The sequence below is a fragment of the Homo sapiens genome, chromosome 11 (genome assembly GCF_000001405.40).
Source record: "Homo sapiens chromosome 11, GRCh38.p14 Primary Assembly".
In the NCBI taxonomy this organism is placed as follows: Eukaryota; Metazoa; Chordata; class Mammalia; order Primates; family Hominidae; genus Homo; species Homo sapiens.
In genome coordinates, this window is record NC_000011.10 from 129,057,044 (window position 1) to 129,070,385 (window position 13,342).

The 13,342-nt window shown below is 36.0% G+C and overlaps 1 protein-coding gene across 14 annotated transcripts in view, besides 1 other annotated feature; it reads right to left on the reverse strand.

Moving 5' to 3' along the window:
• The window catches only part of ARHGAP32 (Rho GTPase activating protein 32), a 314,573-nt gene that overhangs the window by 91,984 nt on the left and 209,247 nt on the right, over window positions 1-13,342 (reverse strand). For 13 of the 14 annotated variants that reach the window (XM_047427929.1, XM_047427927.1, NM_001378025.1 and 10 more), the window contains 4 exons: window positions 9,688-9,825; window positions 7,798-7,890; window positions 6,859-6,981; window positions 5,237-5,314 (listed from right to left, as the gene is read on the reverse strand). In XM_047427929.1, coding sequence (XP_047283885.1) covers window positions 5,237-5,314; window positions 6,859-6,981; window positions 7,798-7,890; window positions 9,688-9,825 — 432 coding nt within the window. Of the gene's footprint in view, window positions 1-5,236; window positions 5,315-6,858; window positions 6,982-7,797; window positions 7,891-9,687; window positions 9,826-13,342 lie in introns of those variants that run through there. The other variant, XM_011543075.3, reaches the window with a different exon arrangement.
• Window positions 4,074-5,273: an enhancer, noted in NCBI's record as "MED14-independent group 3 enhancer chr11:128931012-128932211 (GRCh37/hg19 assembly coordinates)". NCBI's record gives its function as "activates an origin of replication core promoter dependent on BRD2, BRD4, P300/CBP and CDK7 cofactors, and independent of MED14, by STARR-seq in HCT116 cells {active_cell/tissue: HCT116}" and the evidence as "EXISTENCE:reporter gene assay evidence [ECO:0000049][PMID:35650434]".

Sequence of the window (13,342 nt, forward strand, 5' to 3'; positions counted from 1 at the left end):
CCGGAGCCCAGTTGACAGGGTTCACATGTAACCAGAGCCAGGCGAGCTGGCTGACCGAGGTGCATGCTGTTCCCCGCCTGGCCTGTGCACCTGCTGACAGAAGCATCAGTGGGTCATCGGACATCCTCTCGGCAGAAGACATATGCAACACTGTGCTCCAGTGTAACCTCCTCTAGGAAGCCCTCCTGCACCTTCCAGGGAATCCTGGTGAGCCCTACTCCCTACTCATCAGAGAGACCCCAAGGAGAGTACTGAGGTCTGCTAGTCCTCCATGTCCTGCCTGCCTTGAGCCTGAAACCAGCCTGGCTCAGGTAGGGACCTGTTCCCCACCAAGTCTATGTAAGAGAGTCCCTCAGGTGCCTTCAGGCCAGCCCTAAAGGTGGCTCAACCAGCTTCTCCATTCAGGACTGGTTGACATCTATTATGGGCTAAAAATTGTGCCCCTCTCCCCCAAAATTCATAATGTTGAATTCCTAACCCCCAGAAACTCAGGATGCGACTACAGTCATTTCTCAACATAGCTGGGGGATTGGTTCCAGAACCCCCTCATATAGCCAAATCCACACATACTCAAATCCCACGTCATATTCCAAAAGCCTGCCCTCCATATATGAGGGTTTCACATCCCACAAATACTGTATTTTCAATAGCGTTTGATAAAAAAAAAAAAAAAAAAATCTGTGTATTAGTGGACTCGCAAAGGTCAAACACACGTTGTTCATGGATTAACTGCGTATTTAGAGATGGGAACTTTTAAAGAGGTAATTAGGTTAAATGAGGTGGCCCCTAACCTAATCTGACTGATGTCCTTACAAGAAGAAGGGATTAGGACACAGACAAACACAGAGAGGAAAGGCCATGTAAGGACACGCAAGAAAGTGACCATCTGTGAGCCAAGGAGAGAAGCCTTTTGAAAAAAACTAAACCTTCTGGTACCTTAACTTCTAGCTTCCAGAACTGTAGGAAAATATATTTGCTATTAATTTTTAAGCCACCCAGTTTGTGGTATTTTACTACAGTAGCCCTAGCAAATGAACACAGTACCTAACAGACCAATTAAGGGATGAATAAATCCTAGAAACAGCTCCCACTGGCAGAAGTATCAGTGGGTCATCTGTTATGCCCAATAACAGAAAAAAAAATATACACACACACACACACACACACACACACACACACTCTCTCTCTCTCTCTCTATATATATATATATCTCATATACAATCATATATATGTGATTATTTGCCCCCATCCATATCAGAATATATGAATATATGATATCCCCCATCCATATCAGAATATATGAAGTACCAGGAATTCAGACATAATTTACATTAGAGAAATTTTATAACTCTAGATATTATCCTTCTAACAGGAGTCATGAAAAATCTTCTTATAAAGAACATGTTTCCCTATTAACTTTAGACTGTTGGCTGGCTTTTCAAAATTAAAATTTTAAAATAGCTTTTGATGTATCTACTACACAAAGTGAGGTCCACTAGTAAGCTAAACTCATGGTTTTCACCCCTACTGAGGCCCCTCAGGGCTGCTGCAGAAGGCCTGAAGGAGGCCAGCCAGGTGGGCTGCATGGGGATAAGGCCCAGCGTTTCCCACTTAAACCAATCAGGGCAGCTCCATGGTTACTTTTTCTTGCACTGAGGTTCTGCGCATGATTCTGTTTGATTAGTAATTCCACTGGATTAAAAGAAAAAGTATAAAAACCACCGAACTAAGCTATTATTTCAGTTAAACTTGAAAATCAGGATGTGGAAAGATGTCTGATGTACAGTTACCATGATTGTCTTCCTCTCTCAACAGAGTGTCTCCCAGGAGGAGCACACGCTTACAATTTAAAAATACCTAACAAAGGTAGGGGACATCATGAACAGTCTGAAGAGTTTTTCTCCAGCATACAATTGATTAATCATCACACAAAAACATAACACGCAGTAACAGCAATGTTCCCACCAGTAAACATGTATGCTTTGCAGTCCACAGTTGGCTAATCTTTACACTATATTTCTTGCTGGTTGAGCAGGAAAGATGTTCCTTTCCATATGGTAGAAAACTGACATGAAGAACGTTAATAATCTGAGAGTGAATGTAAAAATCATGCTTAGTGCTCTTCAGGCAATGAGATGGAGCAGACTTAGATCTCAGTCCCTACTCCCTTCACTTAACTGACTTAGCATCCTGACTACTTATTAAACCTCTCAAAAACTGTTTTCTCTCCATAAAAATGGAGGACAGTAACTACCTAGAAGCTTTGTGAAATTAAAGAAAACACTGCATGTAAAGTACTGAGCTATACTTTGCAGGTAACAGATGCTCAACATGTCTCCTCTTTCACACCTTTCCCTGCAATTAACCATGAGTGCTCTTAGAAATGGACTAATGTGTAGAAACAGCAAGGAATGCTGAACTGTGGATTCCTGCCTTAAAATACTGATTTGCAATTTTTTTTTTTTTTTTTTTTTGAGGTGGAGTCTTGCTCTGTCACCCAAGCTGGAGTGCAGTGGCATGATCTCAGCTCACTGTAACCTCTACCTCCCGGGTTCAAGAGATTCTCCTGCCTCAGCCTCCCAAGCAGCTGGGATTACAAACATGCGCCACCAAGCCCAGCTAATTTTTGTATTTTTAGTAGAGATGGGGTTTCATCATGTTGGCCAGGCTTGTCTTGAACTCCTGACCTCATGATCCACCCACCTCGGCCTCCCAAAGTGCTGGGATTACAGGTGTAAGCCACTGCCCCTAGCCTGAATTTCTTTTTAAAAAAAGTTTGACAGTAACATTTAAAGACTTGTTCCTGGTTACACGGGCACCCCCCACATCAATACCTCTTCTCACAGGCACACTCCAACATGATCCATGGAGATACGATTGCCTTTCTAAGACCAATCAAGATGAAAAATAGCATTCCTATAGGAAAGATTTTTCATTATCGGTTACAAATCAATCTTTGAAGTTAGAAATTTCGTTTTTGTTTTCAATAATTTGTTTTGGCAATAAACTGATGTTTAACTAGTTTTAGACTAGTTAATTTATACTCACTTTGAAAAGAATTAGTTTGTTTAGGCAATGAACTAATTGTGTGCGTCTCAACAAAACTTTGGGGTATAAAGCTATACACTTAGCACACAATCAGTACTGAATAAATATCTGTTACATAAACAAAGGGAAGACAATCATAGAATTTAAATGTTGAGAAGGAATAGAGAGATTTTAAGTGAAACCCTCTGATTTTAAGAAGAAACTCAAATCCAAAAAAAGCAAATGACTTCCCTAAGGTGTTACACATAGATAGATAGATAGATAGATAGATAGATAGATAGATAGATAGATAAGATAGACAGACAGACAGACAGACAGAAGAAAGTTAGTAGTAACATCAAGACCACAACATAACTATTATTTTAAAGCCAAATTAATCTTTTGATCATCTTTGAGACCCTTAAGTCTATTGTTCATTTCCACTAACATGAAGAACTGACTCCTTAATAGGAAAAAGATAACTGTAGTCTTCTATTTAGTTTTATATTTAATCAAAAGCACTTATTCATAGCTGGTAAGAAATCAGAGCACAGATGGAGGGGGATCCCAATAGCACAAACAAGAAGAGTTCTGGGGTAATGTGATAGGGTTTTTCTGGTCTTAACAACCAAATTAAATTACTATAGATGCTTTCATAATAGGGAAAGGGATAGATAAAATTAAACTTGTAAAATAAAAACCAGAATTCTTTAAATTTAAAAATCAACACTTATTGATTAAAAAAAAATTATACATCAGACCTGGTCTAATAAGCATGTTCTATTTTTATTCTCACATATTTAATCTTCAAGATAATCATGTGAGGTAAACAATAGTCCCATAATCCCCATTTTACAAATGAGGAAACTGAGACACAGAGAATTAAACAATTTGCCCGAGACAACACAGGATTAAAACCCAGACAATCTGGAGCCAGAGCCCACTCTTATCCACCATCTTATAATGTTTTAAATTGTATTATTATGTTTTAATAAAAAATATATTTTATAAAAAGCTAATAATTCATTTTTATTTAATATGTAGTTAGAACTCAAAGTATTTATACAATGCTTATCAAATTTCTAACAATATAGCAGGAGCATTTTATTTATGTAGTATTTAGTAACACTTGTATAAGTAGACCACAAAAAACCACAGGCTATATGTTAAGGATACAACTTTAAGGCATTTTCAGAGACTCCTCATAAAAAGTAGTTGCTAAGTCAGTCTAATAGATGTTATTATCAGGTCTCAAAACTGTTTAGCCATAAAGTAGTCCCTCCTTATCTGCAAGAAATATGTTCCAAGACCACTCAGGGAATGCCTGAAATCACAGATAGTACCAAACCCTAGGATACTTTTTCCTATACATGCATACGTATGATAAAGTTTAATTTATCAATTAGGCACAGTAAGAGATTCATTACAATAACTAATAATCGACTAAAACAATTAAGTCAAATAAGGATTACTTGAACACAGCACCTTAATACCTCAACAGTCAACCTGATAACTGAGAGGGCTACTGAATGACTAATGGGGCAGGCAGCATCTACAGTGTGGATATGCTGGACAAAGGGATGATTCACGTCCGGGGTGGGACAGAGAGAGATTTTATCACACTACTCAGAACAGCATGCAGTTTAAAATTTATGAATTATTTATTTTTGGAATTATCCATTTAATGTTTTCGAACCTTGGTTAACCTCAGGTAACTGAAACCATGGAAAGGGAAACCGTAGATAAGGGACTACTGAATATAGAAAAAGAAATGAGATTGCTTTAGATTCTGTTGTTCTGTAATTAAAAGTAAGTTTACATAACAGTTACAATGCCTTTTTATAGAGAAATATTAATCAAACTGACTTAATTCCAGAGAGGAAATATATGTGAATCCCGATTAACAACCTGTATTAAAAGCAAGGTCACTCCACAGGCCTTGTAACCTAAAAGTGGCCATGAGGTCTGAGATGCTATTCACATTTTGGCTTCACCACCATTTAAAGATGAAAAAGGAGATAAGAAACAACCAAAATAGTAATTAGAAAAGGAAATCTAAATCTATTATCATTACTATCTGCATTTTCTATCGTTGCAGACAAAATTTCTGATGACAAAGTCCATTACCAGCACATGTAAACAAAAGTATTACTGAATCATAAAAAAACTTTCCTTTGAATTTTCCCACACCTAATTTGCTGCTGCCTACCTGGAATCCGTGCTTGCCTCTCCACCATGTGCTTAACACTTTCGGGGGCATGTCAATAACAGAAACAATGTCTCCCACCTAGGAGAATCAAAATTTTAAGCAAAATGGTTTTAGTTAAATTTTAAACCAATTGTTATACCTAGAATTTAAATCCGAACTGTATGAAAAGGTAAAGTACTATTCATGCTCTGGCCAGTAATTTCCAAAAAAAGTACCATTTCTTTTTAAAAATCATTTAATTATCTTATGATTTGTTAAAGAGAGGTCTACAAAAAGTTAAGCAGCACAAAGACTGTGATTCAACTAACACAGGTGCAGTAACTTCAGAAAGCCAGATTCATAGCATAAGATTTTTAATGCTAGGCATCACACCATTATCATCACTTCTGTTAAAATACTGTTACTGCTGTCACTGAGAGTGATCAGATTCACTTATAAAAGATAATTTTAAATATTCATGTTTAGAAACAGTAACAGATTCCCTTAATATTACATTTAGTGAGTGCTTACCATGTGCCAGGCACTGTACTGAGCTCTTGACATATCTTATTTAATCATACAGAAAAGGGCCTAGGATGGGTTATTCTTAGTAAGTATAAAATTTGATGACAACTACACTTCTTTCAATAGATAGTAAAATATAATTATATCCACTAAAGAGCTAACTTTCTTCACTGTAAAAGAAAAACTACTGAGTTTAAACTCATATAAAATCATAAATATAAAAATTACAATAGTTTTTAATAATATATTCAATGGAAGTTATATTCTTCAATCAAAAGAAATGCTGATATCTATGATAAAACATAGTTAAGAACTTCAGAGCAATGTTACTAACATATACTATAGAGCTTTAGGAATTTTTCTTTTGTATATTCACAACTGATCTTACATATCATGTATAAGCCATTTTGTAAAGCCATATATGCTAACATCATCATTCCAAGACCTACATTTCTTTCTGTACAGAACCTAAAAGTTTGAAAACAGTTCAGATTCTATGCAGTAAAAAGTTATACTGTTATTTCTTAAATTTAGTAACTGTCAGCATTTTTTTTCTCTCATTAGCCAATATATATCTTTAGAGGAAAAAATTTAATTCCCCTCCTTTTATATGTGGTAGCAAGATGTGTTCATTTCACCTTTTATCTGTTCTTTAACTCAATCTTTCAACAATATGTGAAAAAAAATGTATCATTGGGTATTGTTTTTAGGTACAAAAACACAAAAAGACAGACCTTGCTTTCCAGAAGCTCAATGAGACAAAGAGGAGAACAATCATGATTAAATATAATAAGTGATATATCAGCAATAAGCCATGAGCACAGTTCAGAATGACATTCAATTCAGGTTTTGGGGGGTATGTATTTGCATGGAGTGAGGGGAGGGAGATCAAGAATGACTTCCCAGACAAAACAGGAGACACTTAACCTCAGTTTTCAAGGATGAGTACTGTCACTTAAACAAAAATAGAAGATATTACAGGCTGAAATATAAAAGACTATGGAAAAACCTGGTGCTTTTCATTTTTTTAAAAATTAAGGAAATGGTTAAGAACAGTCAAAGATGAGGCCAGAAAGTTAGCAAGAACCAAATAACAAACAACCACTTTAACTATTTACCTCTAAGGTCAGTTCGTCAGGGGCCCGAGCAGTGTACCTCTTGATAACATGGGCAGCACCGACAGCAGGAGTGTTGATGGATGACTCCTCATGAACCAAAAGGTGATTTCCCTTATTATCAATCTATCACAAAGAAAATGTACTATGAGATAAAGACACTGGACTTGCAAATGCTTCTTTGACTATCTATAAAAGAAATTCATTTTAATTTAGAGATACAATAACCCAAAGAGTCTTAAAAAAAAAAACTACCATTTACTGGGTAGTAAAAATATGCTAGTCATTGTGCTGTGCCTATAACATATACAGTTTAATTTAATCCTCATAACTCCAAAAAAAAATACTTATCATCATTTAAAGGTGAGATGCTAAAGATGAAAGAGGCTATGTAATTTACAAGAGATTCAATACTTTTTCCAAGATCTCAACGCAGGTTGGCCCATAGTTCTATATTCTTTCCACTTTCCATCTTGCATTCCCAATTTCCAGTGGGAGGAGAAAACAATATAACTCTACATATGCACATTAAGAATAAATATGTAATCTATTTACTGAATAATGTTTCACTCAATACTTACTCTTAAAAAGGACCCTTTAAAAAGTTGTCCCTTGCTAATAACTGAAAAATATTTTCAATTACTAAGTCAACTAAAAAAATGTACACCTTGCTGAATATATACATTAGTATACTAAACACCAAAATAACAGGTATCATCGAGATTCATAAAATATATTAAGATTAGTTTCCAAGATTATCAAAGAAAGATTTGAGATGAAAAAATATTTCGTGTATCACGTATCTATCCTCCCAGATGCTGAGAATATACTTCATTTCTTTGATTCCTGAAGCTCAATAGACATCAAAATTATGTTAATATCAAATTTCTTAAGTAGATAATTTAAATATACATTTTTCATGAAAAGTGAATTAGGAAATACCTCCATCCAGGTAAGGGCGGGCCCACAGTTGATCTTGTTGCCAGCGATAGCTGAAAGGCGTGACAGGTAAGCCATAAGCATCTGAGTGACCGACTGAAAAGAAAAAGATCAGTGTAACTCTGAGTAAAGATACTATGCTCTCTGGCAGGGAAAACTGGATGGTTTCTGGAAGAAAAAAATCTATAGATCTTTAGGCATTTTAATAGTTACAGAGGACTCTTCACAGAAACTTACCAGTAGCACTATGGGCACTTACATAGCAAGTCAGCCCCTGTCTCATGCAGAGCTTCAATTTCTAGCCCCTTATCATCAGCGATCATACTATTCCATGGTTTCTAATTTTGACACTTTCTATTTTTGTACTGAATATGCAAAAAGATAACTATAGCAGATACATATTTGGCTTTTCTGCCTAAATTTCCCCCTACTACTCAGAAACCCTTTTCCCCAAGACCCACTGTAATCTTCCATGCACATGGCCTGTGGCAGGAGCAGCCATGTTCATACGTGATCCTATACCATGGTTCAGCCGATTGGTCCAGGAATATGCCCCAGTATTAGTTGGACCAATCAAGAGCTAACCCAGGAATTAGGAATTGTGACACAGATTCTAGCTCAGTCTGGCTGCTCTCTTAAAAGGGGATAAAAACCTGGGACCTCTTGGTAGTGGCCATGTTTTAGGATAATCTGAGAGAAAAAAATGAAACAGAAAAAAAATGAAATGAAGCAGAAATGGGAAATGCAGATAAAGGGACTTTCAGGTTTTCTATGGTACAAAGAGATCCGTGTTTTAAGACACTCCTGAGACCCTGCTGCAGTGTCCGTTATATTTTAGCACTTAATGAACCCACTGAATCTCAGAACATCACTTTATTTAGATCTGGTAGGGGGAGTGGCTTACACCAATTTTTAATTATTTCCTTGCATCCACTCTCTCCTCCTGTAACTCCCATCAGTAGAAACCTCTCTGGACCTATTCTCCATGACTCCCAACTGTTCTCTCACAACTTTTTAACTTTCCGTCCCTTCCAGGGGTTGTATTCTTATAAATGACTTGGCTTGATCATTCAACTCCCTGACTTTCTCTTCAGCTGGGTACATTCTGTATGGAGTCCAGTTACTCAGGTTTGCTCTTACTAAATTAATTTAAATGATCCTATATTCGTTTACAACATCTCTGATTTTAGTTTATTTAAATCCATTTCATGAATGTGACAGCTTCACTTTCTCTCAGAGGATAGTAATCATCCTTCGAAAAGCCTTGTTTGTACCTCTCAGTTATTTTATTTATTCAGTTTCTATGTGTAAACTTTCTAGTTTCCTTGTGTTTTGCGGTCTTGTTGCACTTACATGTTTAGGCTATATTTACTTTTCCCCATAAACCTTATCCCATCTACTTTTTAAGATTCCTTACAATTTTTGATTCCCAATGGTACTTTTGGTTTAATGATGCTATAAAGAATCTCTGTTTAGAAATCTTTTACGTTTTTACTATTTATTTTTTTGTAGGGGTGAAGGTAGGTGCATACACACAGCATGCTGTCATAAACTACTCAACACTGTTAATATGGATCCCTTTGATCATGAAAGGCAATGTTTTTCCATATTTTTGCTTCCACTTTTATGTGCTCTCTGGAGAATGTTTTGCTCATATATATTGCTTGTTGATATATTGTTATGAGTTGTTTTCCCTTATAAAATTACACACTGAACCTACTTTCATTCTAAACATTATATTTAACATTACTAACTTTTCAGTTATGAAACAGGCAAGTAGTCCCAGGAATCACCCTGCGTGTTCAGTATAAGCTTTTGTTTAGTATACAGACAAAAACTTCTGCAAACTCATATATAGTGATTACCTCTGTACTAAATGTACTAAATGCTTACCTCTGGACTGTCCTTCAGGGTGTCAGAACGGGGAAGTTCTGAGAGCTGGGAAAATCTTCGGTCATAAATACACAGATGAAGATGTTTATCAAGTACCCGAAAATCTTCATAACTTCTTTTAACAATCCAACTTTTTCCCTATTGGTAGAAAAAAGAAACTCATATAATTCACCTCTATTGGGAAATACTTATGAATCAGGCCATATTCTATAATGTGATTTTATTCATGAGATTTTATATTTTCTAATGAGAAGTTTCTATTAACTTGATAGTTAATAGCTAAAACTGTGAAACACTCTAATAAGTTATATTACATTAAAAGGCCAATAATTGAAAATAAGATAGAACTCTCCACCATCCCTCTTCCTACTGCTGGTCAAAATCCACTGCCTCACTTTCAGAACAATAACTGCTAAATGGTTAAAATAACATGTGATTTTAAATCTACCAAAAAGAAAAAAACCATAGGTAGGAGAATATTAACTGAAATTAAAGAAAAATAAAATCAGGTTTTGATTTGTTACTACCAACATTTTCTGTGACTGAGATCGGAAATATACTAAAAAACCAAAACTACTGAAGTCTTCCTCTATAAATATTTGATATTCATACAGCATCTAGAAACCTCAGCTCTCCCTGCCTCTCAGGCCTTCCTTTCTTTGCCCAATCTCACAAGCTCATTTTTTAAAATTACACTCATAAAGGATATTTATTAGATACTATCTTCTAATCTTCTCTTGAATCTATCACTTCTTGTTCAGTCCTATAGCCCAAGCTTCAGTAAGAACCATCATCATTTCTTACCTGAAATATTGCTAATGTGCCTTGCCTTTGAACTCCTCCCCTGCACCCCCAACTACAAAATACAGAGTTTATCAGCTCACACCGCAACAACAACAAGTCCTTCAAAAGCTCCTGTGGTGAGTAATGATGAGCAAATCCCGACTGTATAGCATATAGTTTTGCAATGTAATTTAATTTTTATGTAGAGCCTTTTGGCTCATAAAAATCTGGAGGGTCTGAAAGAAAAAGCCTTCAGAGACACCAGTTCCTCCATCTGCCCCAGACAACTGGAGCAGAAACAGAGGGTATCACCTCATGAGAGGGTGCTGATTTCTAATCACTAGTGTCTCAAAAATTAACATGATAAACTTGCATAATCCCACTTTGGACTGTAATCCTCCACGACATAGACAAAAAGTCATTACCAGCTCCCTCTTTCAGAGGGTTCTAAGAATGAAATAATAGATGTGGTCAAGACTTCTACACTTGACCTTGGCTGAAAGGCAGAGAAGCAATGTGACTGAGACTTTTGAAGAACAGTGTCCTGGTCCCTATTCTAAGAGATGCTAATTCACTAAGTCTGGAAAGGGATCCAGTTAGTTCTGACGATCAGCCTGAATTGAGGGCCACTGGTCTACAGGATTAAACCCAAACTATCCCCACATTTCACAGCTTTTATCATCTGGGCCCTGTCTAAATTTCCAGACTGATCTTACTGGCTATTACTCCATGCCCTTTCTTGGCTTCCAGTTATATTGAATGATTTGCATGTATTCGATTCATGAGCTGAATGTTCCTTTCCTTGCCTTCATGATTCTGTAAGTGCTGTTTGTTCTTCCTGTCATGTTAGCTCTTTCTTTGATGCTTTGCTCAAGCAAACTCCTTTATTTTCTCAGTTCTATCACTACCTTCTACCCAAAGCATTCCTGGGAACTGCCAAGTTATGATGTACAAGCATCATTTTATTTCAAATTTGCCAAAGTGGTAACACCAATTTATTCACCCAACAGTAGCATATGAGTTCCCACTGCCCCCAAATCCTTGCAATTCTTGGCATCATCAGAATTTACAGCACTGCTAACCAGATAGAGTTGAAATGGTATCTTCTTTTAATTTACATTCCCTTGATTATGAGTGAAGCTTAGCATCTTTTCATTTGTTATTAAGATTTCTTTTTGTATGAATTGCCTATTACTACCAAAATCCTGTTCATTTTCTCTATTACAATGACTTTTATGTATTGACTTCTAGAAGATTTGTTTACTAATATATTGGAAAAATAATCTTCATAATTGACATGTATTGTAAAACACTTTATCCAAGTCTGAGACTGTCCCCTCAATTTGCAGTATCTCATCAAAAAGAAGGAACATAAAACTTTATTTCCTTCTTTATGAATATAATCACAGATTAGGTAGTTTGCTGAAATTTTCACACAGGTATGTGAAAGAACAAGTATGAAAATAAGTATCCAATAAAATAATTTAAATTTTCATCTGAAAGAGAAGGCCTTACAGCCATCACCCATAGTATTTCAAATTTATCCATTATATCTTCTGATTTGGGTGTGGCCTACAGTGTTTTTAGAAACTGCATTTGAAAACATTTAGGTACAGCACAGCAAGCACAAGTTTGCCAATGTCATTACCACACCCAGCCATTTTCCTTAACTAACATTACCTATACAGATGCTGAATATATTTAGATTTACCAACTCCTGAAATAAATACACAGCTAATAGCTTGGCTCTAGGACCACAATGTCCCAATTGTGAATCCTGGTTATTTAAGAATTAAATCAAATAAATCAATGTAAAGTGCTTAGTAGTAGGCAGATAGAAATTGCTCAATACATGCTAGCTATTACTCTCTATTAATTTGGAGAACTTACTCTGGGCTGAACCTACCAAAAGTAGAAAACAAGGTTTCCAAACAAATTCTCAGGATATTTAGCAGAACAAGCAACCAGTCACCAATGTTCAACAACTCAAAAGACAAAAGAACATTCTTAACAATTACTTTTTAGTGCATCAGGGTTTCAGTCAGCTAAAAGTTAATATATCTTTAGAGATCAAAGGTTGCTTTCCATATTGGCTGAATCATCAGCTTCAGCTTTGGAGAATAAAATCTCAAATTCAACATTATTGTTTTGGAATAATTCAGCATGCCCTGGTGATCATTCACTTATGTTTTGTTTTTCTGCTCCTTTTCACGAGAAGATGTATTAGGCTTCAACTCCAAACATGTGTACAATTATTCCATGGTATTAAAGGTGAGGAGAGAAATGATCTGCAATTTGGTAGGCTCACATTTATTACTCCTTTGGAAGAAGTGGTCAAGATCACTGAAATGTAGTCCTGCATTTTTTGGTGCCTGGTGCTTGTAGAAGAGAAATTGGCTTTGCTTCTAATCCTTTTTCAGCCAACACTCTTTAGGAAATAGAGAGTGTTCTGGTGTATTATAAGGTAATCTTTGCTAGTTGGAATATCATTTTCCCTTGTCTTACATAATAGATTTCTAGAGCTACATAAGTGTGAAACAGAGGGAAGAAAGAAGAAAAAGAGAAAGAATGAGAACAGCAGCCAGTAATTGAGAATGCAAGATCTGAATTTATACTACCCTAGGCTATGTGCTAATCACTTGACCATATATAACTATTCCACAGTTTCCTCATCTGTAAAATGGGGAGGCTAATAGTAACTGGGGTTGTCAGAAGAGTAAGTGAAATAATCCACGTAAGGTGCTTAACAGACTCCCTGGAAACCATTCATTAAATATTAGCTATCACTATTGGTATTTTTCTCACTGTTAAAGCTGTCTGGAATAAAAATAACTTTTGCATGCTATATTGCTCATGCATCTATCATGCATGG